This window comes from Homo sapiens, chromosome 14 (genome assembly GCF_000001405.40).
Source record: "Homo sapiens chromosome 14, GRCh38.p14 Primary Assembly".
Taxonomy (NCBI): domain Eukaryota; kingdom Metazoa; phylum Chordata; class Mammalia; order Primates; family Hominidae; genus Homo; species Homo sapiens.
The window spans coordinates 94,023,800-94,051,657 of record NC_000014.9 but is presented as its reverse complement, the minus strand read 5'-3'; the positions used below and the strand labels follow the sequence as shown (position 1 = coordinate 94,051,657).

Genomic DNA, 27,858 nt, shown 5'->3' with positions numbered 1-27,858 from the left:
GTGTATCCCCTGCAAATGGTTAGACGTTATCCATTTACAGCCCCTGCCAAGCCACCACTAGCTTCTTCAGAGAACTTTTGAACCCTGCCTCCCTAAAGTAGTTCTAAAACATTTTTCACTGTGTTACCCATCAAGGGAAACAAAATGTTTCTACAAACCATAGTAAATAGGATCGTTTTTGTATTGTGTTTCAAGGAGGAAAAGCTGACCAGCAAGAAGAACGTCGGAGACAAAAGCAGATGAAGGTTCTGAAGAAGGAGCTGCGCCACCTGCTGTCCCAGCCACTGTTTACGGAGAGCCAGAAAACCAAGTATCCCACTCAGTCTGGCAAGCCGCCCCTGCTTGTGTCTGCCCCAAGTAAGAGCGAGTCTGCTTTGAGCTGTCTCTCCAAGCAGAAGAAGAAGAAGACAAAGAAGCCGAAGGAGCCACAGCCGGAACAGCCACAGCCAAGTACAAGTGCAAATTAACTGGTCAAGTGTGTCAGTGACTGCACATTGGTTTCTGTTCTCTGGCTATTTGCAAAACCTCTCCCACCCTTGTGTTTCACTCCACCACCAACCCCAGGTAAAAAAGTCTCCCTCTCTTCCACTCACACCCATAGCGGGAGAGACCTCATGCAGATTTGCATTGTTTTGGAGTAAGAATTCAATGCAGCAGCTTAATTTTTCTGTATTGCAGTGTTTATAGGCTTCTTGTGTGTTAAACTTGATTTCATAAATTAAAAACAATGGTCAGAGCCATTGTGTCATCCTGATTTTTTTTTTTTTTTTTTAGATAGAAGATGGGGGTGGTGGTGTAGTTTGTTTCATTATTAACTTAGTGATTCTCCTGGGCCAGCACAGTGCTAAGCCCTTGAAAGGACAGGAATAGTGTCAGGCCTCTGGCTGCAGGCCAAGATTGGACAGTGTGAATGGAGCAAGAGGCTGGAATGTTCAAGAGGTGCATGTTCCTGCTTTACCCAGAGCAGCACCCTAATAGCTCCTTAGCTCTCTCCACTCTCCTGGGTATTGTCTGAGCCACCGTGGGAGGTGGGCAGGGATGAGGTTGCTGTCTTCAGGCTTCCCTCACATCACAGAGCCAACAGTAACAGTCGCTAGGTCTGGCGTGTGAAGCCCTCAGGATCTAGCCCCAGCCTTGTCTCCACTCCCTCCTGTTTGACAGAGCAGGCTCCTGCCCACGGTTCCATGCACCCCTTCTCTTGTCCTGAGCCTTTGTGCAGAATAGGCTTTTCCCTCGGTCTGGATTGCCTTTTGGCCTTCTCCATCCTGGAGCACTGCCATGGGTCCTCTAGTCCTGAGCCTCTAAGGGGAAGCAGTGCTTCTCCTGGGGCTCCCTTAGTGTCCCGTGCTTACCCTCTTCATAGCACTTGCCATGCTGTGTTCCCTTAGCTGAGCTCCTTGGGAGAAGAGGAACTCAAGGCTTGGTCAGCCTGGTATAAATATGTGCTCAGGGAACTAGGGACTTCCTGATGCTGCCCCAGCTTTGTCTGGATCAGTGTAGGTGAGTATCCACAACTCCCACAACCATGGGAGAAGCATAGATGATTTCTGCACAGCTGTCTGGCTTCCAAACAGGTATTCGTCGGGGCACAATACAATACAGCTGTTTAGTTCAAGGGGTGCTAGGGAATTGAAGAGGATACACAAAGGGACCAAGATACCCCAAGATCTAAGTAGCTAGCCTCTCTCAGCCTCATGGTTGGCACTTTTATCTAATTAGCATTTAGTCTTGAAGGTCCTGAGAAATAATTTTCTTTTTTTTTTGAGACAGGGTCTTGCTCCATTGCCCAGGTTGGAGTGCAATGGCACAATCACAGCTCACTGCAACCTCACACTCCTGGGCCCAGGCAGTCCTCCCGCCTCAGCCTCCCAAGTAGCTGGGACTACAGGCACACACCACCACACCTGGCTGAATTTTTTTTTTTTAGTAGAGATGGGGTCTCACTATGTTGGCGTAGGCTGGTCTCAAAACTCCTGCCCTCAAGTGATCCTCTTGCCTCAGCCTCCCAAAGTACTGAGATTACAGGTGTGAGCCACTGTGCCCATCTATAAGTCTTTATTAGTGTTTTTTGTACTTGAGCATATAGACACCCAGTGATTGAGACTTGCCCAGGGCCACACAGCAGCCAAGTAGCAGAGGTGGGATTAGTATCTTCCTTCTGGGCCCAGGACAAGTTCAGAAAACTACTTCAGTCTCAGAAGTGTTGCCAAGGAATGGCCTCCCATCCCCCAGTGTCACCAGTGACCGGAATAGGAGGGGAAATTGCCCGTCTGTGAGGTCAGCTCCTGACTGACAGCTATCAGAGAATGGCAGGGAGACTCTCCATTTTCCAAATGATGCAGTGGTGGTCAGTGGGGTTAGTAAGCGGGCTTAATATCCCCTAATGGCACCTGAGCCGTGGGAGTGAAGCCACTTGCCATAAGCCAAACATAGATCCCCTGATGACTGTCCGTGTCCTGCCCTAGCCATCTAACAGCAAATTCTTTTCCTTGGTGGAGGAGCTAATACGTAGACAGGCTTTAAAAGGCAGGAGCAGCCTTCCAAGCAGTGCTACTCTCGCCTGGTAAGGTGAAGTTGGTGGGCAGAGCTTCCGGAGTGTCCTGGATCTGCCATTAAACAAGGAATATCCCTCCCCAGCTAATCTACTTAATACATAAGCACCACGGAAAAGCAGAGTTCTTGGCTGCATGCCAGGTACCCAGTATTAAGAAGCCAGGACAAAAGTAGTTATGGAAACCATTTTAATGCTAGGAGAATGTTTTTACTTACTGCCTAGGGAAGCTGTAGGGCTTGGCCCACATCCAGCAGGGCCTGGGGCCCCTGGAAGCCACTCACTGAGTTACAGCCCCCTCCCCACTCCTGTATCTGCTCAGGGTGGTGATGTGTTTGCTCCTAGACTCTCTCTCATGGTTCCCCTGACACTCCTGCTTGGGAAGCCACCGAGTCACTGCCAAGGTGACATGCTTCCCCATCTGCAGTGCCCTATGCTTCCTGTCAGGAAGGACAGGTTGGGGAATATCCCTTTGCAGAGCCCATACGATGAGTGTGTCAGGTATAATAGCTATTTTCACACAAGGAATCTCATTCTGTTTTAACCAATAATCCAGTGACACATAGGTATTGTTGCCATTTCACAAACTTGGGAATTGGGGCTCAGGGAGGTGAAGTGACTTGGCCAAGATCATACAGCTAGTAAGTGAATGCTGAAGTTAGAACCCTGGCATTCTGGCTCCAGAGCTCTCATTTGTGCTTAAAATAGGAACCCAGTCAAAAGCAGGGACTGTGCTCTTTCTGTTGCTAATTGTTCCCATTGATTTAAAAGTTTCCTTTGGAGAGAAAGTATCATAATAAACATGCAGTTGTAAAAACAAGCTCTCAAAGCAACTCTCCTTCCAGCTTTTGGTCTGGAGAGAGATGGCTCTGTGGGGTGAGGGTAGAGAATTATCCAGGAAGTGGGACTGGCCAGGGTGACTGGCTGCTGTGGACAAGCAAGGTAACATCCACAGATGACTAGAAATTTTAACAAGGTGCCAAAGCCTGCCACACCTTTTCATCCACTATGTTTTCCCTTCGAGACAAAGATCTGAGAGAGAACGTGGGGGAAACAAGGGCAATGGTTCGGATTTGGCCAGTGGTTTTTTGCAAAAAGGGGAAAAGCAGAGGGTAAGACCATGAAAGTAACTTGGCCTTCCTCTGCCAGAGCTTGAGTGTCCTGATTCTGAAGTGATAGAATAGATTCTTTTCTGGGAAGAGGGCCCCTGTGAGTTTCCGGGGGGCTCTGTGACCTGGAAGCACAGCACAGGCAAGTCTCCTAGAGGGAATTTCTCCAGCCAGTCTGCCAAACAGCTCTGCTTCTGAGGCTACCACACAAGCCACAAATACAGAGACATAGCAGCCCAGTGAGGCTTCTGCTGTGCTTGAGAGCCTAGCTGGAAGGCCCAGAGCCCACCTTACAGCCCCTTAGAACAGCCAAGGCGTCATCCAGGCTGTGTGTGTGTCCGTTCACACCTTTCAGTTGGGAAACAGGGATCCCCTGGAGACTTGTCTGGCAAAGATGATGATATTCACAAATCATGTCATGTGTTCCCCCCACGCTTCCAGTGTACTTCTCATAGACCATGGTGGGACACTGAACAAATTCAGAGGTGACAGTCAAATTTACATTCCTGTGAAAAAGTGACATAATGACTTAGCCAGAGCCTTTGGATCCAAACTCCAGCTGAGGGCAGTATGGAAACCAGGGTCCCTGCTTGGAACTAAAATCCCCTGATATCTGAGAGTGCTATTGGCTTTTCACGAAGGCAGAAGAGTGACACAAATCTGACATTTGTGTCAAGAGGACTCTGAGGAGTCTGCTACCCAGTCCTTGTGCAGTCAGGTTGTCAGCAGACTCATGCAGCAGCACCAATAGATTCCAGTAAATCCCTGCAGAATGAAACCTGTGAGAAGGTGGCCTTCAATTAAGGAAGGACCCCAAAGGGCAATTCCACACCCTGCATTTTCCATTTCCTCTTATAGAGGAAGAGAGGTTGCTAGCAGCACCTCTGCCCAGCCAGGGTGTGGGTCCCCACTGGTGCCATCTTGCCGGCCAGCCCACAGATGGAATCTTGAAGGTCCTGAGGCAGCAAGGTGAGGGGCTTATTTAAGGGGTATGGCCAGGTGGCTGAAGGAGGAAGCTGCTGGCCGGAATTCCCAGGCGGTTTCCACAGTGGAAATCTCCCCACTGCCAACTTCCCATGGCTTGTCTGTTCTTTCCCACCTACCCTCTGACCAGTCCATAAAGAGAGCAGAAGCGGGAAAGGGAGGAAGAAGCCAGGGGCAGCCTGCAAAGCGTCTGCTCTGCTCAGCTGGGTCCATGGCTGTGCGTGCCAACACTTCTATCCTTGAAGTATCCAGACTCCACTTCTAGGATTTGCTGGGGATGATGGGACAGCTGCGGCTTCCTGGTCCCAGACAGAAATACACAGATTCTGGTCCAGACCCTAGTCTTGTAAGCCTCTGTCCAGGTGGGGCTGAAAGCAGAACCCTGAAGGGCTCGTCCACCAAGAGTCAGGCAGTTCTAGCCCTGAGAGAGGTAGAGGGGCCCCAACAATTTGAGCTCCTACTAAAGGCTAAAGGCCCCTTTCTGGACTTTGGCAAAAAAAGGAAGTCTTTTTTTTTTTCTCCTTAAGTTAGGGGTAGGAAAATACATCCATCATGAATGTTTGAAACCACACCGTAGCCCTCACATTCAAGTTGACCTCAATAGGCCATCTGTCAGAGCCCAGTCCAACAAGTGACTGGACTGGACTCTTTTGTAGGCCTGGTAAGTCACTTGGGTTAAGACAGCTAACCTTGAGCTTTTCCTCCCCCGCAGAGAGGCACTGCCCCTGGTAAAGAGACACCAGAGGCCCCATTTTTCTACAATGGAATGTCAGCATAGGCAGGGACCTCCTCCAGTTGAAGAAACAAGTCCAGAGAGGGCAGGTGACCCACCCAGGGCCTCACTGCGAACTGGGGTGCGGAGTCGGGGGCCCAGTTAGAAAGCATTTGTCCCTCCATTAAAATAAATACTAAAAATCCTACCAAGTTACCATAGTCCATAGTGGATAGGCCTCGTTCCCAGGGGCTTTGCCCAAAAGGCTGCACATTTTCTTGCTACAGTCTAAATTGCTTAAAAAATTGAAGAGCCGGAATGTTCCATTCAGAATGCAGTCCCATTAGGTGACAGGTTCCACTGCATGGCCTAAAATTAATCAATGTTTATCGGCTGCATAAAGGATGTTGTAGTGGGATGTTTTATAGAGCAGGTAAACGGAAGGGGTGGCGGCCTCAGGGAACACGTGGTGGTTCAGGGCGGTATCCATCTCGTCCACGTACTCCACTTGCAGGGCAATGCTCAGGGCCTGCGACAACGCCGTGATCTGGATGTGGTCACACTCCGTGGCCATGGGCTCTACTTCCTGCAGGGGCCAAAATGAAAACAAGCCAGCTTAGGAGGGAGGCCTGGCAGAGGACAAGTGAGTTCAGCTCTGGCTCTCAGGGTCATGGTCACAGCCTCTGTGCTGGGACGTCATCTTCACAACATCCCATGAGTTGGGTATGGACGTTCTCATGCCACACGGGAAACAGCCTCATTGAGAGGCAGCATAGCTAGAAATCGCTACAATTGCAAGAATCGAACCTGAATCTTTTCCATTCTAGACCTTGTAGTTACACCTGACAGCAGGCTACTAATTTAGAGGGATCTGGAAACGGGGGGCAGACATTTTTCAGGTTGGGCATCAAAGAATCTTAGAGATAAAAGGCACCCTGTCATCCAGGGGTGCCTTTCAAGCTTAAGTGTTTACAGAGGCTAGGCTGGTGAGTGAGGGTGCGAGTCCGGGTGCTGCAGAGACGATGGAAGAAGCAGAGGCGGTGGCAAGCAGGCGTATGTCCTACATAGAGAGGGCAGCTGCTGCTTAGTGCCTGCTGAGACTGCCCTGCAAGAGCAAGGACCTGGGGGCTGTACTTCTTACTTTCCAGCAGAAATCCAAATATTCATATGAAAAGTGCCTAATTTTTAAATATCGGCAACTCTTTCTGGTAAATACCATGCATCATAAACACGTCAAGCAAATGTGACTCTTGGACTATGACTGTGGTTTTGTAAACAGGCCAGTCCAAATCCCTTATTTTTCAGATGGGAAATCTCCAGAGAGGGGAAGTGACTTGCCTCAGGCCACACAGCTCAGGCAGCTCAGGTGGGACCTGTCTGCAGCTTGCTGACCTAGCTCTGTTTGAATTGCAAGGGCAGTCGTGACACCCGAGTCCCTTGGCTACGGATGGGTGCTGAAGTCTGCAGGACAGGGCCACAGGAGCAGAGCCCAGGGCTGGGGCTGAGACCCCAAGCACCTACGTGAGTGCAGAAGTCTTTGATGTCCATCTCCTCATCAATGAAGTGCCGGAAGAAGTCTGCTCGGTTCCTGATGAAGGCCGACGTGAGCAGGCGCAGGAACTGCACGATGTGGTCCGAGGCACTCTGGTCGTTGAACACCTTCAGCAGGCTGGACACTGAGCCATCCTTCTCTACCAGTTCCACCACACTGTAAAACTGCGCCCGCCCGGCCCTCAGCTAGGGAGGCCAAGCAAGCCCCAGCCCTCCCTCTGCATTCTCCCTCCGCTCCCTCCCTTCGCGTGAAGCCCTCACGTGCATTTTCATTTGTAGATTCTCAGGTTGAGTTAGAAAATCAGTCTGAGATTCTGCCTAAGCTAAGTAACCCAGGGTTAGCAAGACTTTGCAGTTTGTACACTAGTCCAGAGGCATGTTTGGGAGCGGCAGTTGGGTCTCCCCACCATGACTACCTGGGTTTGGATTCTCACGTGCACACTCAGAGTGGCAAGCGTCTGAGAGTCCTCGATCCCGCCCCTTCACTAATTGGATAGGGAGGCATGAGGTGGAGATGGAATAGGGTGAGGGAATAGGGTGAGGGCTCCCTGTGCCCACACACCCCCACAAGCAGGAAGGAACCCTCTGTCCTTCCCCAGCCAGGAGGAGCAGAGCTGTGGGCTGTGTAGGGGCTCCAGCCAGTGCCCACTCCTGTCTGCTCTGCCAGTGTGGAAGGAGGGACCAGGTGAACTCACAGCATTGAAGAAGTTTCTGAACTTGTGCTCCTCAAAGCCAGCAGCCAGAAGGTCATTTGGGGTCTGCAGTACGCGTTCTTTGAACCTACAGAGGGGGAAGACTGAGTGTTTACAGGGAAACACAGCGAGAGTGCTGTGATTGGCAACTGTGCGTCCCCCTCTCAACCCACTGCGCCCACCAACCTCATCTCTAGTCCAGCCGCAGAACCTCCCGCCCCTGCCCCCAACACACAGCCACATGCACCGTGCACATCTCCACCCTGGCCCTGCCGGGCCCTGGTGGCTGAGCTGCATTGTGTGTGTGTGCATGGTGGAAAGACGATACGACAAGGGCGTGTGTGATTTTGCATCTTTTCCAACTCCCTACTCAGTGACCTCATGAGGGCAGCTTGACTCAGTCATGATAATATTGAATACTGACACCACAGCAATCGGCTGACAACACACATCAGGCCTCCCGCACGCCCACAGCCGGCTGTTAAGCATCTGCCAGCACCAAGTTACCCTTGGGGACCCACTCCACAGGCCCTTGCTCTGCGCATGCTGGGTTGTTACTCTCTGCACCTACTGCAGGCCCCCTCATGGCGCAGCCCCTTTCTGGGACCTGTCCTGGTGCCCTCAGGGGGTATGGCAAGAAACCCAGGCCTGGGCCTGGCCCTGGCTCCAGGACACTCCCAAGTTTAGTGGCAGCAACGAGGTATGGAGGAAGGGCTGCCTCCCACAAGGACCAGGTGAGCGGCCCTGGGTGACCAGCTGGCAGGCGCAGAACACTAAGGCCACACCTAGTTCTCCAGCCCCTCACTTTGCCTGGGAACGGAGATGAGGCTCTGACAGCACCCAGGAGGCAGAAGGTTCACAAGGGAATACAGAGGCCTGGGCCACCTCAGAAGGTGCTGTGCTCCAGAAAAGCCTGGTGCCTTGTAGGAGGACAGGGGGCAGTGAGGAGGGAGAAGGTGGTGGGTGTGGACGGGAAGCTGGTCTCCTAACTCAGAAGGAGGAGTATTTGCCTAGATGCCGCTTGCCCCTGCCTGGTCCTGGCATATCTAACAGTCCTGCCTGGGCCAGGACTAGTTTGTCCTGATTGCAGGGTGAGGTGCCTGGATTGGAGGGATGGAGCCTGTGCTGGCTTCTAGCCGCAGTCCCCTCCAGCCCTGTCAAGTCCCCCTGTGGCTTTTGGCCATAAGCTCCACTTTGGCGCAAGTGTGGATGGTGATGACGCCTTGACTGCAGGGGTGCTGAGGGCGAACGGAGAGCTGCCTGGGAGGACGAGGCCTCCACTGCAGTGGTACCTGCTGCCTAGGTTTCCCCTCCTGGCCAGGGCAAGGATCTGATGGTCAGTGCTGGCTAACGCCTCTCACTCAGGAGCCACCCTCATCAGCACCCCCTGTTCAGTCTTCAGCTGCGGCTAGGTGGCCCATGGCCAGAGTACTAGAAGCAGCTCCAGGAAGCAGCTGCAGTCCTCCAGGGCTGCTCCAAGGGCCGGCACCCTCTTCTAGCCACTCTGTCCCTGCATGGCCATGAAGTGCACTGCTCTGCTCCCAGCTCTCCTGCCCCCCCTCCCACCCCCAAACCTCTGCCTCATTCCACATTCATTCCTCGCCAGTGACTTGTGGGCCCCTCTGTGCCAGGCACTGGGGCACGGAGATAAGCAGCATGCAGTCGTAGGCTCTGTCAGAAGGGGGCAAGCCCCCAGGCCAGGACATGCACCCCCGAGAGGCAAGCCAGGGATAGGGAGAAGGATAGCACTGGGGCTTGGAGGGGGTGCAAGTTCAGACCGCTGGGGCTGCACACAAGCCTGTGTGGGACCTCTGGCAAGTCATTTGACCTCTATGAGGCTCTGTTTGCTCATCAGATGTGGTAGTAACAGTGGCTGCCCTCAGAGGCGGCGCGTGTTCTCCAAGCCTCTGGCACACACAAGTACTTCGCATACTTCTAGAGCAAGTATGCAAGATACAGGGCTGGAACAAGCATACTGCTGCAACACGCTTGCTCCAGCCCTGCAGCAGCACTGAGCAGAGAACAAGTGTCTGCCTGGGTGGCTCTGGGCTCACTGCACACAGGGAGACAGTGGCTTGTGGAGGATGCATGACGCTGACGCTAAGAGCTAGCACGGAACACCCCAGGTCAGTGTTCCAAGTGCTCACGAGTCAATCACTTAATGTCCGTGACAGGGCTATGGCCACTGTTCAACTGGGGAAAGGAGCTACAGAGGAGTGAGTGAAGCAGCCTGCCTGGGGCCCAAGGAACCCACAGCCGGGTCAGAAGCAGGGCTACCTAGGCCCAGGCAGCGTCAGGCGGCATGTCATGCCTGCAAGCTCTGGTGTGTGTAGGATAAGTGAGTCCCTGTGCCTAGAACTCAGGGTGGGTAGGCAACGGGGCAGGAGAGGCAGGGGCCTGGTGTGGAGGGCGTTGGTGTCAGGGGTTTCCACTGCTCCTAGAGGTCAGGGGCATATTTCAAGCTTGGGAGTGACATGGTCTCGGTTTTTGTGTTAAGAAGATGCAGGCTGAGGAGGGAGGACCGCCTGAGCCCAAGAGTTCGAGGCCAGCCTAGGCAACATAGGAAGACCCATCTCTTAAGAAAAAATAAAGAGAGAAGGAAAATATTTTAAAAAAAGAAAGAAAAAATGCTGGTGGTCTCATGCAGCCTTTTGGTTTGACTTATCACCTGTGTGCCCCGGCCTGCCTGCTGAACGCCAGCCTTATACCTCCACTGCCCACCAGACACCCCTACTCTATGGCTCCCGGACATTTCAGACAGCATCGCAAAACACAGCTCCTGATATTCCTCAGCCCTCCTTTGCAGCAAACGGCTTCTCCATCCTGCTAACTCTCAGGCCAAACCTCTGGGAGCCATTCTTGACTCTGCCATGTCCAACATGTGAGTCGGGCACGAATCCTTTCGCCACCTTCACAGGTGTCTAGACCTGCCCACTTCTTGCCATGCCCACTGCATCCACCTGCTCATGCCACAGCCATCTCCCCTCTGGATCTCTCCCCGACCACATCTCCCTGGCTGTGTCTCCGCCCCCGTCTGTCCTGCACACAGCAGCCAGCAGGGCAGGTCCCCCGTGCTGCGCAATCCCTCGGTGGCTCCCGTGTCCTTCAGGCTGAAAGCCAAGGTCCTTAGAAAGGCCCAAGGCCCTATGTGCCCTGCCGCCCTTACCTCTCCAACCCTGCTTGAAACTGCCAACCCCAGACCTTGCACTCCTCGGCCTCCTTCCTGCCTGATTTTTCCCACAATACTTATCACCATCCGACACCTCAAACGTGATACTCATGTACTGTGCATCTTCTACCATTAGGACGCAAGCCCCACAAGGCAGGGATTTTGTCTCTCTTGTTCACTGCAGTATCCCCACAGCCTAGAGAAGGGTCTGAGCATGGCACCCGTGTGTGCTGACTGGAGTGGGGAGACAGGACGGAGTGAAGGTAAACAGAGCACGTGGGCTGGTGCAGAGAGAAATGCAGGCGCTGGGCTTAGCCAGCATCACCCACTGAGTCCTCACAATAGCCCCCTGAAGTGTGTTATAATGTCCACCTTCCACAGGCATGAAAACAGGATCAGAGAGATCAGGTCACTTGCCCAAGGTCGCACAGCAAGTAAGCAAGAGAGTGAGGTCTGGCCTCAGAGCCCAGGGCTGCTGCATGGCACAACTCCAGGGGACATGGGTCGTGGGGAAATGAAGTTGGGGTCATAATCCCTGCACTGTGCTGTGTTGGTCCCCACAGGGCTGTGAGAAAGTTGGGGAGGGGAATGGCTTGAGATAGCTGACTCTCCATCAAAAGGGGCTCTGCCAGTCTGTCACTGGCAAAACAATCTGAATGGTTCAGCCAAGGAACAGATGGCTCAACTTCTACCCTCTTTGAGATCATCTATATTTTGAACAGGAGACGATGGCCTTAACCTAGTAGTTCTCAACCAGATAGGGTCGACTTTTTTCCACCGAAAGAGGTTTTTGGCAGTGTCTGCAGGCAGTTTTGATTGTCATGACTTGGGGAGGGGGTTACTACTACTATGTCACGGGTAGGGGGCCAGGGATGCTGTTAATAGGCCTACAATGCATAGGACAGCCCCCACCGTGAGCATGATCTGGCCCAAAACGTCAGTCATGCCGCCGTTGAGAAACCTGCCTCAGCCAAAGAAGTGCTCTGGGACCCACTGCCCCCCGTACTGTTTCCAGAGAGCATGTCGGTGCGGGTCTCAGATGAGGAGGGCCCATGGCCCTCACCAAAGCCTCTAAGGGCTCTGAGACCCCCAAAGGTTAAGAGCCAGGTGGGTCTCTTAGCTCCTTGCTCCTCAAAGCGTGGTTTGAGGCCCAGCAGCATCAGCATCTCCTGGGAGCCAGTGACAAAAGCAGTCCCTGCTCTGCCCTGCTCCCACTGGACAGGAATTCGGGTCCAAGCCAGGTCTCAGGGGTTTGTTTGTCTTTGCTTTTTTTTTTCTTGCTATGGACTAGAGAACCAGGCGCCTTGTACAAACTTCAGATATGAGAAGCCCTGAACTAGCCGAGATGACAGGGGCAGCTCTGGACACAGACCTTCTCCAGCATGAACCTCAGGGACAGGCCCAGCCAGCTGAATGCCTGGGTCACACACACTCCACACCAAGGTCAACAGGAATTATGCAGAACACCGGGGCAAAGCTTCTTTTTGTTTGTCTTTTCTTTTCTTTTCAGAGTGGGTCACGAAGTACCTGCTCCCTGCGACTCACCTGGGCTGACCCAGGCCTGTGGTGGAAGCAGAGGCTGGAAAGCATCTGGGAGGTCACAGATTCCATCCTCCACCCCTTGGCTGCCCCCAACTTCACCACAGCAGGCAGCTGGGCACCCCCAACATCAAACGCCTCTGCCAGGCAGCTCTTCAGCTCATTCTCTGGGTTAACCAGCCTGAGTGTAACGAAAACCTCCGAGAGACTTGAGGCTGACCTAGCACAGAGAACACAGCCCTGACAGGCCAAGGGGCCCCGGCACTCACTTGAAGATCTCCCTGCTCTTCCCCAGCAGGGACTCCAGGTAGGAATAGCCCAAGGCCCTGTAGAAGCAGTTCCCATCCCCTTTGGTCTTGCGGATGGCGGTGAACCTTTTGCTGAGTTCCTGAGGGGGACAGAAAGAAATGTGGGCATTTGCACCAACAACGGCTCTGTGTGGTTTGGGCACTGGGACTGGCCAGGTGCCCCCCATCTCTCCCAGGAAATGTCTGCTCCCTCCCTTCAGGCTGCTATCCCCTCAGCCTCCCACCCTCGTTCATTCCCCTGATATAAAAATACACTGCATTGTCCTGTGTGTCCGTCCCTGCCCCCAGGCAGCCTACGGTCCGGGAGGGAAGATGGATAATTAGACAGTGGCATTGTGAGGGGACAGGAGTGCCTGGCTGGGTGCCACGGGGCACTGGCATTGCACTGGATTTTGGAAGTTGGGGAAGCCTTCCTGGGGGAGCAGCACTGAGAATCGGGAGCTGGCAGAAGTAGGGGGTAGGGGGTTGCATGTGTGAGCAGGGGCGGGAGGGGTGGGCTCCAGCTCCACTCCTAGCAGTAAGTAGGTGTCCCTCTGAACTGGCCTGGAATCCCCTTTCCTGCCTCATGGGACTATAAGCAGCATTTTGACAGCAGAGGATGGTTTTCAAGGGGTCTTGGAGTTCCTGTTCCCCCCATAGCCATGAGAAGGCTCAGAGCCGACTTGGGCCCACCTGAGGCCAGCTGGCAGTGGGGAGGCAGGCACTCTCTGGAGCCCCTGGCTCATCTCCCAGGAGGGCTCTGGGGGACACAAAAGTCAGTGGGCTGCAGAGCCCAGCTCCTTCCCTGGAAGTGCCCCGCAGCGGCGTTCGGATCACATGATGCCCACACCACTACCCCTGGCTGCTGATGGACATCTGACCCAAGCTGGACCTATCAGAGTCTCTGAGGATAAGTAATGAGGCCCAGCAACGGTGCTGCGTGTCTGAGAGGAACTTGAAGGGAAGGGCCTGTGGGGCCAGTGCCAGAGCAAGCCTGTCCTGCAGCGAGAGGAAGACCTGCAGAGTGCAGAGAGCGGCCAGGGCCTCCTACCAGAGGGACAGAGTGGGCACCCAGCTCCTCCTGCCATCCACGGGTGAGTGCTCCATGAGCGATCCCTGCAGCCTTCCCACAAATCCCTTTAGCCTCACTGGCGTAAACTTTCCCTCCAAGAGGTCTCCCAGCACAGCAGTTATGAATGTGGCTTGAGACTCAGCTGCCTGGGTTTAAATCCTAGCTTGGCCACTCATGAACTAAATGGCCACCACTTAATTTGTGTGCCTCAGTTTCCTCAGCTGTAAAATGGGGGTAATAAAAGTACTTACCTCACAGAGTTGTAATGAAGTATTGGTGAGTAAATAAAACATTAGGATAGTGCTAAACTTTTCAACAAAAAAAAATCCTTTTTTTTTTTTTGGAATGAAAGGATTTATCGCTAAGGCAAATGTCCAACATCAAAATATCCTAGGAATCCTTTCATTTGCCCAGGAACCTGGCCCAAACTATCGGCCTTCAAAGAGGCATCACCATTACACTCCCAACTCCAGCCTGTTTAGTTTCGGATGCTCTTCTCCCTGCCCTCTGCCTCACCTCGATTTTCCTCCGGTAAATCCTGTTTTCAGGATGGTCCCGAAGAATGGATAGAATGTCACATTTTTCTGATATTAGGTTGAAAGATGTTTCACTCTGAAAGATAGGGAAGGAAGAAATGCTGTGACAATTTCAAAAGCAACGGACGGGACTCCCCGAGCTGGTGGCCTCTGAACTGCCGGTTACAGACAACAATGAATGAGACCTTCCCACCTTCTCATGCTGGGAGTATGTTACCAGCATCCTAGACGCCCGTTGGGATCACCGCATTTCCAGAACAGGGATAGTCAGGGTCGGGGCCATCGTGAAGAGATAGCCCTGGTTATAAGGAAACTCATCTTTTTACTGGAAGCCTGATTCATTTCACAGAATGTGTACCTCAAACTTAACGAACCTTCATGCTGGAGGATAAGGCCCTTTGTCTCCTTCCATCCCTCTTCTCTCATTCATGCATTCATTCATTCGTTCATTCATTCTTTTACTCATCCAACAATTCCTGAACATCCACATGCCCAGCACTGTGTCACATGCTGGAAATACAGAAGGAAGGACGTCTAGCACTCCCTCACCCACAAGGCTCACAGTCTACAGGGAAAAACAATCAAGATAGGGGGTGATAAGGTCACCAGAAGAGGCCGCAGTGTGTGGCACTGGTACATGGAGATGCCAGAGAAGGTGTCAGAGATCTGAGCTCGGGGAGCACAGGGCAGGAGGGCATCTTCATGCACCACCTACCGGCGAAAGTTTACACTACAGCCCAGCTCTGGGTCTAGGTCAATTCCAACCCAGAAAGACAAGCCTCCTACAGGCAGGATCTCTCCAGGCCAGAGAAGAAATTGGCGGACAGAGAGGAGGCAACTGCAAAAGGAAGCTTCAGGGTGAAGGAAACTGCAGGAGACACGTTCTAGCAGCCAACTCCCCGTGGGCCTGGTCTCCGCCTTGTGCTATCTTGTCAGCAGGGCTCAAACAAGCAGGAGATGCAACTCTAGCCTCCAACCCACCCAGAGCCGCTTTGATTGCAGCATGAACATACTGTGAGAGACATGGTGTTAAAGCCACTTATAGTTTACAGCTTAAAATAAATGAGGCTGGCTCCTGCACACAACCCAGGGAGACCATTTTTATGCAATAGAGCACTGTGGATGGTCACTGTTAATTGGGATTTTTGTAAATAGTAATCTAGTTTTCCATTCATTTATCACCATCATTGTTGACACCCAGTTGTAACTGGCCTTTTTCATGTCACACCGGCCACAGTGGCCTTCCCTGGTAGCCTCTCAGCCTCATCACTGACTAGATAATGATCTCAACCCAATACCATCCTGCTCAGAGAGGAGCCCTCTGATGCTACAAACCCCTTTCTCCACCTGAAGAAATACATCCGGATTTTTGATGATTAGCTTTTTCCAAAGCTCAGCCCACAGAAGCAGAAAGCTGGGCCATGAGATTAGATAATGAGGCCTAAATGACTTTTGTTGCTTCTGTCTCCACATGGGACAGATGGCAAACTTCCATCTGGCCCTGATCCTGTGTCCAGTATCAGGTCAGGAGAGAAGCTGGGACTGGGCAGGGGTGTTTTTGGGGGGCCTGGAATGACAGCTTGTCATACTGTCTGCCATCTTCCATTCACCCAGGGCCTGGCACGGAGAAGGGGGTGAGATATTTTTCAAACAAATGAATAAAAGCTACCTCCTCCATGAAGCCTCCCTGATCTCCCCACCTCATCTGAGTCAGGCTTGTGCTCTCCCTTGAACTTACACTTTATTCTGTTTCGCCCTTTCTGGTGGCACCAAACATGATCTCCCCCCGACATGGGGGATTCAGGGCAACTTCCCAGAAGATAGCTTAAGAATAGAGGATGAATTCATTGTCCTAAAGAACTGGATGGGCCAGGCACGGTGGCTCATGCTTGTAATACCAGCACTTTGGGAGGCCAAGGCAGGTGGATCACGAGGTTGGGAGTTCAAGACCAGCCTGTCCAAGATGGCGAAACCTCGTCTCTACTAAAAATACAAAAAAATTAGCTGGGCATGGTGGCACATGCCCGTAATCCCAGCTACTCAGGAGGCTGAGGTAGAGAATTTCTTAAACCGGGGAGGCAGAGGTTGTAGTGAGCCAAGATTGCACCACTGCACTCCAGCCTGGGTGACAGAGCGAGACTCTGTCTCAAAAAAAAAAAAAAAAAAAAAGAAAAGAAAAAAAAAAGAACTGGATGAAGAATGTTTCCAAAAGAGGAAAGAAGAAACAGGGCATGCAAACACTTGGGGGGTGGGAAGAAGGGATTCTGGATTTTGCTTCCAGAAGCTTCCACTCTGTACCGACCCTTCTTTGCGAAATTAATCCAGCCCCAGGCTCCTTCCTTCCTTCTGCCCTGACATCATAGCGTGGGCTGGCAAAGCAACAGGAAAGCCATCAGGAGGAATCAGACAACACTTGGGGGCAGGTGCCAAGGGCTTCTGTCTCATCAGCTGTGACCCATTTCCTCCTCACTAATGGAATCCCACAACATGATGAAAAATGACTGGGTAGGTCACAACAATCCTACCTCTTTCCCATTTTCCTAGCCTCCCTTGCAGCTATGGGCAGCCAGGTAGCTGGGGTTGGCCAGCTGGACCCATGAAAAGTCTGCTGGGGACTTCTGGGGAAGCTTTTGGTTTTGGATAAAAGGAACAGAGATGGAACGTTCTACTCCTTCCCACCGTCAATGCAGATGCAATGTCCACAGCAGCCATCCTGCGAGCGTGAGGCTGAAAGTCAACACATGGAAGATGATCTGGCAATCTGCTACCCTAGGCCCAAGAGGTCTGAAGTGATAACAGGTGCCATTATTGTGCAAATACTATGTGCTAGGCTCAGGGAGAGAGGCTGACACGTCCCCATTATCTCACTTAATCCTCAAGACCACCTCCTGAGATGGGTATTATACCCATTCTACTGACAAGGTCAGGTGCCCTGTGCTAAGAAGTAATTTTAGGCAGATCTATCTGACTCTGAAGCCCATGGAAATTCTACCATGCCAAACTGCTAGGCAGGCAGAGCACAGAGGTCTTGAGGGACCAAGGCTGCTAAACACAAAGGAACATTCCACACAGGGCAGCCTAGGGCCTTCTTATCAACAGGCCAGGTCCCCACCTCCTGCCCCTGAGGCCTCACCCAGGAAAGTTCTCCATCCAGCTCCTGATCCTGGGGGCTCAGTGTCCACAACAGCATTTTCTAGCCCAAGACGTGCTCATCACAGGTGGAACAGGACACGATTTACAGGCAATATCCAGACACGGTGGTAAAATACATCAGTGATATCTGGAAGGAAAGTGATTTGCCGTTCCACTTCCTTCAAGCCTTCTGATCGCATCAAGGAGAAAGACAGTCTCTAGCATACCTTGAACTCCTTTCTACTTTGCTAGTCTCTCTTCTCAAGAGTGGGCAGGCCTCTGACTTACAGCTTAAAATCATTCCATTTTCATTTGTGTTTTTTCTTTTAACTTAAACCAAGCCAGATTTATTGACTTCAAAGGCAAATTTATAAAAAGTTAACATGTTTTGGTCTATTCTAAATCATGAAAGATTGACATTACTAGCATAATAACAATTGCTAGTTGTACAATTAATTTGGCCCTCATACTGCGTGCTAATACAGCAAATATTCATAGGATTCTATACATTTCAGAATGAAAGCTCTCCCTCTGCTGCCTTGTGTGGATGGTAAGAGGACAAACAGGTAATACTGAAAAACAAGCGCACCTGCTCTGCCCAATTCGTTCCCACTCACGCACCCTCTGACTTCATTCCAAAGTCCCGTTATTTATCTAACAATTTGTTTATACTGTATAAAAGCCTTGTTGTTTATACAGACAGCTGACTTAAAATGATGGCTTGGGTCTTTTTAAATCATAGATCAAAAAGTAGAACAACTATAGTTAACACTGCTTGTGCTTGGACTGCCCGAAACCAAAACCAAAATGGCAGAAGGAGGACACAAAATCAGCTACATTTCCTCTGCAGGGTGTCTGAGGAGGTAATCAATGGAGGAGTGGAATGGATTTAAGGAATTAATCTTCAACATGCAGAAATAAGTACTTCAATGCAGAAAACTGCCATCAACAGTTAAAATGAGGAATATTTAAAGGTGGATTAGGAACGGGGGTGGCACCTATGCCAGGAAAGTCAAGTTAGGTTTCCACTTGCTCTATTAACATAAAATTTGCATTTTTGACAAATCTACTTAAGCTCTTTAAAAGAGCCAAGTTAAGGAAAAATATTACATAGGGCCGGGCTCGGTGGCTCACCTCTGTAATCCTAGCACTTTGGGAGGCTGAGGCGGGCGGATCACGAGGTCAGGAGTTCAAGACCATCCTGGCCAACATGGCAAAACTCCGTCTCCACTAAAAATACAAAAATGAGCCGGGTGTGGTGGTGGGCACCTGTAGTCCCAGCTACTTGGGAGGCCAAGGCAGGAGACTCACTTGAACCCAGGCAGCAGAGGTTGCAGTGAGCCGTGACCGCACCACTGCACTCCAGCCTGGGCAACAGACTTCATTTCCAAAAAGAAGAAAATACTACATAGCAGTTCGGAGCCCTCCCATCTGCTAAGAGCTGAGCTCACCACACCTTCAGGACACACTGTGGGCATCAGCCTCAGGAAGGAATTTTTTCAGGTTTTGTTCTCCTTTGTCCCTGATCCCTATTTCCATTCCTCCATGCCCCCATGCCCCTATGGGTAGTCTCTATGGCATGTCTTTCTAGATATATTTGTTTTTTATTATAATTATGGTAAAACATACATAACCTGAAATTTATTATTTTAACCACTTTTAAGTACACAGTTCAGTGGCCTTAAGTACATTCACACAACAGTGCAACCCTCGCCCCCACCCATCCCAAAGCTTTTAATCATCCCAAACTGAAACTCCCATACCCATTTTTTTTCTTCCGTGTACTTATGATGAATCTCTACTCATTAAACACTAACTCCCCATCCCCTTGCCCCCAGTCTCTGGCGACCACCTTTCTACTTTTCTGTCTCTAATGAATTTGACTACTCTAGGTACCTCTTATAAATGAAATGCATTTGTCTTTTTAAAAAATACAGACTTGTAAGTATGCATGCATTTTAAGTTTGCATAATACTATTCTATAGATATTCTGGATATTTTTTTCCCTTTACTCCACACTATTTAAGAGCTACCCCTGCTTACAAATGTCTCGCAGGTGGGCTACCTCCATCTGCAGGTGATGGAACCTTGGGCTAGCTCCAGCGCACCAGTGGTCCCAGATGTAATTATTGGGGGACCTGGGGACAAGGGGATTCTCGCTTTGGCCCTTCAAGTCCCCACCTGGCACCTCCAGAATGACCCAAGTCCGCCGAAGTTGGTCCCCTGCCACTCCCCACTAGCAGGGCTCTGGCCACACCCCTGGCAAGACCAGAGACTCAAGCTCCCGGAAGAACCCCAGGCACACCCTCAATTTACTAGCCCATAAATCAGGCATGATGCTTGACCTGGCTGACTCTCATTCGTGATTGCTTTTAAAACCATGGCTGAAAATTTCTAGGATGTTATGGAGAAAGGACAGGCCACATCTGACAATGTCCTGTCAGACCTAATTAGGCCACCTAAAAGGACTTTAGCCCTTTAATTGCTGGTTTGCAAATAGATGCTAATTAATTAAGTCAGATAGCACTGTGGCTTGGAAACAGATTTAGCAGCTTGCGTGGAGGAATATATTTCAAAGTGAGAAAAGGATGTTCTTCAATCACTGCTTTTCCCCAGTAACCCTGGGAACTAGCAGAAAGCGCAAGGACGTGGGCTTTGTGTTCAGACTGGCTTTGAGTCTTTGGTGGGAGCCAGCACTACAGCTGTCTGCTGGTCCTTCCTCCTACATCCCTGGAACGCCAGCTGAGATTAAAGAGCCAGGGTATAAAACTCCCACCATGACGCTGGAGAGGTTGCCCCTGATACCCCATCCCTAATCCATGTACCGAGCCCCACCTCCAAATTTAGGGAAAGTACGAGTCCCCACTGTCTTCTGGTTTTCCCTCCCAAGCCTCTGTATGTACCTGAAACCTGCCCACATTACCTAAGGACTCCTCAAGCAGCCCGCAGCCATGGGCCCAGCACTATGGACTGCTCCAGGGGCTGGAAGGAAATATCCCTTCAGATGTGTACTCAGGGGTATGATATGTGACATATGTATGCATGCAGTGCTCAACATTGTTTTCTTTTTCTTTTTTTTTTTTTTCTGAGATGGGATCTCACTGTGTTGCCCAGGCTGGTCTCAAACTCCTGGGCTCAAGCAATCCTCCCACCTTGGCCTCCCAAAATGCTGGGATTACAGGTATGAGTGCCTGGCCTCAGAGTTTTTGTATTGATGAGGTGAGCGATGATAATCGTTTGGAAGCCATGGATTTGGGGGCAGCCGAGTGCCCTGAGTTTCCTGTGGCTGCTGTAACAAAGGAGCACAAACTTAGTGTCTCAAAACAACACAAATGTGCGATCTGACAGTGCTGGAGGCCACAAGTCCGAAAGGAGTGTTGCTGGCCTAAAGCAAGATGGCGACAGAGTGGTGTTCCTTCTGTGGGCTCTAGAGGAGAATCTATTTTCTTGTCTTCCGTTTCTAGAGGCTCCCGGGTTTCCCGGCTTACACACCGGCCCCCACCCTCCCCATCACTCTGCCTTGCTCTCATAAGGACACTTGTGATTACGTCATCGCGCCTACCTGGATAACTCAGTATCCTTAACGGAATCCCACCTGCCAAGTCCCTCTCGCCACGGTAACATAGTCACAGGTTGTGGGGATTAGGACGTGGACATCATTGGGGCCATTGTTCAGCCTGCTACATGTCCCTTCTCTGCTGCTCCACTAAGAAAAGTGACAAGACCCTGCACTGAGGCTTCCCCCCCGGGTCAGTTATTAGCTGGCTTTGCAGAGACCCTGACCTGGGCCCGGGCCTTCCCTCTTATCTTATGCCTAGACTCATACAGCATCCTCCCAACAGGCCCTCAGATCTTCCTCTCCGGGCCTGACCTCTCCCTAGAGCTCTGACTCCACAGCCACTCCTGCTCAGAAGTCTGAGAACATTACTGAATTAGCGTGTCCCTGACTGCTCTCCTGCCCACCTCGCCCCCCACCCCCGACAGGCTTCTCCAGCTCCCCATCCAAGCAGAGCTGATGCCAAGACCCAGAAGTGCTTCTCCACTCCTCTCTCCCCGACCTCCCCATTGGTCCAAGCTGCCATCATCTCCCCCCAGGGAGGCTGCACCAACATCTGCCCAAGGACCTCCTGGTTTCCACTCCTGCCCCCATCCCAGCCCATTCTCCACAAGCAGCCAATACAAGCTGCTTAACCAGCAAGGGCACGCCCTTCCCCCATGCCCTCCAGTGGACTCCCTCACTTAGGCCAAGACTCAATCTTTTGACAACGACCTCCCATGTCTGACCCCATGTGGCCCTCTCTGTGTTCCTTCACAAGACACACTCTCACCCCAGGGCCTTTGCACGGCTGCTCCTTTGACCTGGATTCTTCCTCTGCCTTTCCCAAGATGCAGGTGGCATCACCTCCTCAGAGAGGCCTTCCCATGCCCCACCCCATCCCTCTCACCTTTATTTCTTCATGGCATGATCTCATAGGCTCGCCTGTTTACCCGCATGCTGCCCGGCTCCCTCCACTGGAATGCCAATTCCATGGGGGCAGGGACTTTGTCTGCCTGTCAGTGCTGGCTCCTCAGTGCCTGGCACACAGCCATGCTCCAGAAATGTATACGGAGTGTTATGGGTTGAACTGTGTCCCCCCACCAAAATTCATATGTTGAATACCTAATCCTTGGTACCTTAGAATGGGATCTTATTTGGAAATAGGGTCATTGCAGATGTAATTAGCTGAGATGAGGTCATACTGGAGTAGGGTGGGCCTCTAATTCAATACGACTGGTGTCCTTATAAAAAGAGGAAATTAGGACACAGACCGGCATACAGGAAGAACACCACGTGAAGATCAAAGTTCTGCAACCACAAGCCAAGGAGCTACCAGAAGCTTGGAGGGAGGCCTGGAACAGAACCTTCCCTAGCGCCTTCAGAGGGAGCATGGCCCTGCTGACACCTTGATCTGGAGCTTCCAGCCTCCAGCACTGTAAGAATCCATTTCTGTTGCTCTACACCAGTTTGTGGTACTTTGTTATGGCAGCCTGGGAAGCTCACACACTGCATGAATGAATAGACAGATGCATGCATGGGACTAGCCAGGCTCTGACTCCAGCCTGGCTACCTCCAACCCTGTGTCCACTTCATCGTCAGAGAGGTCGTCCAAGTCAACCATCTCTTACTTGTCAAAATTATGTTATGGTTTCCCCCTCATTGGTGGAATAAAACCCAAACCCCACAGCACAGCAAGTGAGGCCCTGCACAGAACATCCTGACCCCACCAAATTTTCTAGACTCAATTTCCCTGCCTCCCTCAATCTCCTTGCATCTTCAGAGGCTGTTCACCTTTGCCAAAATCCCCTATTCTTGACCATGCTTCAAGGCCTGATAGCCCACTGTCCCCCCGCACCCGCCAAAAGGAATGTGCCCTTCCCAAATCCTTCTTGAACACTCATATACATCCTTCAACTCAGCTCAAAAGACCTCCTCTGCAGAACCTTCCAACACCCCCACTCCCTCAGAGCATATTGACCTCTCACTGTGTTCCCAATGTCCTTAGGCCTCTTAGGCATGACCTGTAGCTCAGACACTGCTTGTGTCCAGCTGTCTTGGCCAGCAGGCAGTGAGCTCCTACAGCGGGCAGGCACCTTGTCTTTCTCATCAGTGTCACAGTGCCCAGCACAGGCCTGACAAAGGTGCCCACTGGGGGCCTGTTTGACAAATAACAGAACAAAGCACAATAGGACCCTGCGGTTTTCCTGCTTATGTCTGACTCATTCATTCGTCAAACATGAAATGCACCTTGAGTGCACGAGAACCCTAGCTATTTGCAGTCCCTGCCAGAGGTCTGGTCCTTGTCTCACCCCTACCTTCCCAAGTGTCTTTGTGTCTTCCACGGGGCGCCCTTCCTCAAGCTTAGCCCAGTGATGTAGAAACAGGAAAGTAAAGAAGATGCTGTATTTTCCAAGGATATTCCTTCTGTCACCACCATCCACACAATGCAAGTTCAACATAAAAACCCACCATGCAGCACAGGGCCCAGTATGGTCCCCGCATGCAGTAGGTGCTCAATAAATGCCATGTGCAGGGAAGGGAAAAGACCCTGCATGGCCTCCACCCCTGTGATTACCAGACAGACGTCATATTTTAGTGGGTTAACCACTTCATCCTTCGCCAAGGCACCCAAGCCCCCGGTGAGGGGTGAGGGCTTTGGACCCCATCTGCCATCTAACTTCCAGTCTCCTGAGTCAGGGCAGATAGGGAGCAGAGTGAGCGGCCTCACTGCATGGCACAAAGAGCAGCTACCGCCTCTGCTGTGCTCTCAGCTGCCGAGTGGTGGCCAGAGGGCATGCCAGCCTCCAGCTCCCGGGTGGCTAAGCCCATCATTACCCCAGCTCCACCACTCCCTGGTGGGTGATGCAGAAACACCTGGGCTGCCTTCCAGGAGCAGCTCAACCAGGTAAACCCTTGGGCACCAAGTGGAAGCAGGAAGCTGGTGCTTCCAGATGCTCCAGAGGCCCCCAGCTATGCCCCAGGCAGCAGGCTGGCTTGGCAAGGACAGTCCCAGCTCGAGTGCCCTGGCTGCCTATGCCACACCCAGATCGTGCCAGGCCATGACCAGGCTTTGACCCATGCCCCAGCCCGGCAGCATGCTGCCGTGGTGACCCATTTTCCTGCCCAGTCATAGGAGAGAGGAGGCTAAGCTTGAAGAACCAGGCATCTGTGCACACCCATTTCCAGGACTCTGTTGTCACAGGAAAAGCTCCAGCTAATCATATCACATGGTTCCCATGACACAGATGTGCAAAACGGTGCTGAGGGGGAGAGCGGACCAACCAAAGCCTCTTCGCTTTCCAACAGGTGGAAGTGAGACTTGAACCTGGGGCTGTGTGGCCCCGACTCAAGCCACCCAGCCCTCACTCCACAGGCTCCCCCTGCTCAGGGTTGAAGGGTCTTAGGCAGCCATGCCACCCAGTCCCCTGCAGGATGCCTGACCCCACGGCAACCTGGAAGGTGAGCCGATGTAACACAAAGAGCACTGAACTGAGAGTCCAGAGCCTGGGTTCAAGCCCCAGGTCCACCACAATCAGTACCAGCCCTGCCCTGTCTGGCCTCAGTTTCCCCACCTGCCCAAGCCCAGGGTTAGCCTGGCTCAGAGGGTCTCTGGGCCTCGTTCTGCGCAGACAAGGCTCTCCATCAGGGATTCCTGAGTATTTTCTTTTCCCCGACCCCTAACTCATGCGCCTCACAACTTGAGGCATCCTCTCTAGGTGGGTCCTGACTCCAAAGATGGAGACGGTCTAGTCGCCCACGGAGCAGACGACCTGGTGCCCCGTGCAACCCCTAGATCCTCCCTTGGGGTTGGGGCAGGGGCCAGGAGGTCTTTGACGGCCGAGCCGTCGGGTGGGTGGGGCCGTGGACTGCTGACTGGGGGGCTACTTAACAAAGAGGAGGCGACCCGTAGTGCTGCAGCCTCCCTGTCCCTGCTTCCGTCGAGGGCGCCCACCCAGCGCCGTCGAGGCGGCGCCCCGGGCCACCTGGGGCGGACACGCTGGGGGCGGGGGCTCGGGGCCGAGCTGGACCTCCTCAGCTGCACATCCACGGGGTACAGGGGGGCGCGACTTGGCCCTCAGTATCCGTCCGGACTCCGTATTTCAGGGGGTCGGAAAGCGGCGGGGGCGAGCTGGGGGCTGAGCCTCGCGTCCGACCCCCGTCCCGCGGGTGCACCCGCTCCGGCAGCGACCCCGCCCACCGCGCCCCCTGCCCGCTCCCCCTTCGCGATCCCCCACGATCACTGACCATAGTGACCAGAGCCGCCAGGCCAGGTCCCGCCCCAGCGAGGAGCGATCCGGTGCGGGAATGCCGCGGGAGGCGCGGGCGGGCTCCGCCGCTGGTTCGGTGGCGGGGACCTCGAGGGCGTGGGGGCGGCGGAGAATACACCCGACCGCTCCGCAAACCAAAGGTTAGACCTCCACTGTGTCCCAGCAAGACACACGCCCTGCGATTGACGTCTCAGGCGGGCAATCAGAAGCCGGGACGCGGGACGTCATAGAAAGTGGGTGGGACTTCACGTGCCTTCAGCCTATGCGTTAGGGTCCATTTGATAGGATGCCTCCCCCTTTTAAAGACACAGGAAAGCTTTTAACTAGCAGAGGAGTTAGCTCAACCCAGAAAGACAGGTCCTCGTTTGTAAAGGCTGAAGGGCTTTTGCGCAAACCTAAAATTGGAGTCTTCTGAAGGATTAGCTGGCCGTCATTAATTCATAAACAAGGTCACATAAGTATAGTTTGCACAAGATCAGAGGATAGGCGCTTAGGGAACACGTGTCCAATAACATTAAGTATGGCTTCTATATAATATTTTATCCTCTTCCAACTCATGAATCAGTAGGTTGCCACGCACCCAGTTAATGTTTGTTGAATGAATGAATGTCCAGGATCGTTGACTCTGTGGCTCTGGAATTGTAGGGATATCCGTGAACCAGGTCTAGATGACTCATCTTGCCTACAAGCTCATTATTAATGGACATCAAAATAGGAATATTTATCATTCAAAGATTCATTCACCAGCCCTTGAGTCCTGGAGGAGCTGCTTGGGTGTGGGAGGGAGAGTTTGTAGGGGAGGGGGGCTCAGTGCATTGCATGCATCCACTTCAAAAAATTAATATTTCCAGGAGCGTGTATTGAGCAATTCCCCTTCCTGCTGCTGCCCCCCGCCCCCGCCCCCCGCGCCCCACTCTTACTACGTAAGTCCCAGGTACTGGGCTAGGCTCTGGGCATACAGACATCTGAGTCTTCCAAGCATGTATCATGTCCTGGGCAGGGAGTGTGAGGTCAATGGAGGCTCAAGGAGCAGTAACAATAGCAGGTAATTTTTTACAGTTATTTACACAGTTATGCAGAACACCTACTATGTATCAGGCGCTATCCTGAACTCTCCACATATACAGAATTATCTTACTTAATTTCCTCACAACTGGTTTAAGGGGGTAGGTCCTGTTATTATTATCCCTGTTTCACAGATGAGGAAACATGTACAGAGAGTTTACGTTCCTTGCCTTAGTCACATAGCACTGAAGTGGGATTCAGTCCCAGGCAGTGTGACTCCAGAGCTGGTTTCGAATTCACTCTGCATGTGACTACAGGGGCTGTGTTACCTGCCTCCGCCCCTGACCCCCATTTGTTTTCGGGGGGTTTCTCGCTCTTTTTTTTTTTTTAACCGCCAAGGAAGCCAGAGAGGTGACAGGAGCAGCCCAGTGCTGCTGAGCTAAGAAGTGGCCTGGCTGGGCTGGATCCCTGGACTCCTGACTCCCCAACCAGTGCTCATTCCAAGGCGTGTTAGCTTCCCTCTGTGGAGGAATGACTGAGCCAGGTTCCATGGTGTCTGAGTGAGGGGTATGGGTGAAGAGTCTTTTCAGCCAAGGCTTTGATGAGCCCTCAAGTTTGGCTGCACTAAGCCCCGAGTCCTGGGCTCACTCTCTGCCCTTCTTCAGGCCCCAGCAGTTCCAAACCAAGCCAGCATGGGAGTGTGGAAGGAGCACTGGGCTGGAGTCCATGAGGAATTCTGGGCCCTTGGGCTCTGCCACTCACTGCTGTGTGACCCCAGGCAATGCCCAGGCCCTCTCTGGTCTTCTGGTTCCTCACTCAGTGAGAGGGTTGGACAATCTGGGTGGTTAAAAATGTTTTGTTTTGTTTTGTTTTAATATTTGTAGTAATGAAGGCTTTAAACACACACACACACACACAATCTTACAAGAATCTCAGTGCATGCGTAACAGAATATTTCCTCAAATTTAGCTCAATTCGCAGGGAAAATGTAATTTCCTTAGTCTAACTAATCAAGATTCCTCGTAAGCTCTCTAAAGCCTGGTTAGAAGGAAAAAAGTTGCAGAAGGGTTCAGTGGGTTTTCAAGCTGGGTCTGCATCGAAAATGCAGACAGCGTCGTTAGGGGCCGCCCATGGCAGGGGATCCGTGTGTTCTGTCTGGAATGAATTTGCTCCAACCTTCCTGCACCCCTTCTCCCTGTTGTCCAGGTGTCTGGGTGGAGGGATCGGGGAATGGCAGCTGGGGCTTCACAAGTCCAGAGAAGCAGGAGGCTTTGGGTGTCCTGTCTTCCAGCAAAGGACCTGTGTACCTGGGTACTAGATGCCCAAGATTTGAGGGCTGGGTTCTGCTGCCCATGCCACTCACGGTCTGGCCCTTCTCAGCCTGGTCAGACCCAGAGAGCTCTCCGGGGTTGACGTCATCCCACTCTTTGCAATGGAGCCCCAGCCCACCTTTCTCACCTTCTCTCCCTGACTTCCCCACTTGTCCGATAATACATGAGCTTATAGGGATGGCTTTGAGGGCCTGGAAACTTCCTTGTGCTTTCACACCTCTCTGTACCTTTGCTCCTTCTGGAATGCCCACTTGTCAGATACCACCTGTCTTTCAAATCCTGGGTCATTGTCCATGAGGCCTTCCCGGATTGCCCAGATGGTCATGAATCCCTTTGAATTTCCCCACCATGTCTGTCCTCCTTTGGTGCTGATCCCTTGCTA

General features: G+C 52.1%; 2 protein-coding genes across 2 annotated transcripts in view, besides 1 other annotated feature; one reads left to right on the top strand and one right to left on the bottom strand.

The window, feature by feature from the left end:
• The window catches only part of DDX24 (DEAD-box helicase 24), a 32,916-nt gene extending 29,545 nt beyond the window's left edge, over positions 1–3,371 (top strand). Inside the window, exon 9 of the mRNA NM_020414.4 lies at positions 196–3,371. Coding sequence (NP_065147.1) covers positions 196–467 — 272 coding nt within the window. The 3' untranslated portion in view covers positions 468–3,371. The remainder of the gene's footprint in view (positions 1–195) is intronic.
• On the bottom strand, positions 2,728–25,318 carry OTUB2 (OTU deubiquitinase, ubiquitin aldehyde binding 2). Its single transcript, NM_023112.4, has 6 exons — positions 25,118–25,318; positions 14,183–14,278; positions 12,577–12,695; positions 7,603–7,687; positions 6,878–7,072; positions 2,728–5,942 (listed from the first exon to the last, which is right to left on the bottom strand). Exons 1-6 carry the CDS (start codon positions 25,118–25,120, stop codon positions 5,736–5,738), a joined length of 705 nt encoding a protein of 234 aa, NP_075601.1. The 5' UTR covers positions 25,121–25,318; the 3' UTR covers positions 2,728–5,735.
• Positions 25,201–25,495: an enhancer, noted in NCBI's record as "tiled region #4126; HepG2 Activating DNase unmatched - State 1:Tss, and K562 Activating DNase matched - State 4:PromP". NCBI's record gives its function as "activates a minimal TATA promoter and a strong SV40 promoter by Sharpr-MPRA in HepG2 and K562 cells {active_cell/tissue: HepG2 | K562}" and the evidence as "EXISTENCE:reporter gene assay evidence [ECO:0000049][PMID:27701403]".

Bases quoted from the DNA above. Each gene is read 5' to 3' on its own strand.
- OTUB2 (NM_023112.4), bottom strand. The intron at 12,696-14,182 runs GTGAGGCAGAGG...TGTCCCCCTCAG, and splicing joins TTTACCGGAGGAAAATCGAG to GAACTCAGCAAAAGGTTCAC. The intron at 7,688-12,576 runs GTGAGTGCCGGG...CCCCCTCTGTAG, and splicing joins AAGAGCAGGGAGATCTTCAA to GTTCAAAGAACGCGTACTGC.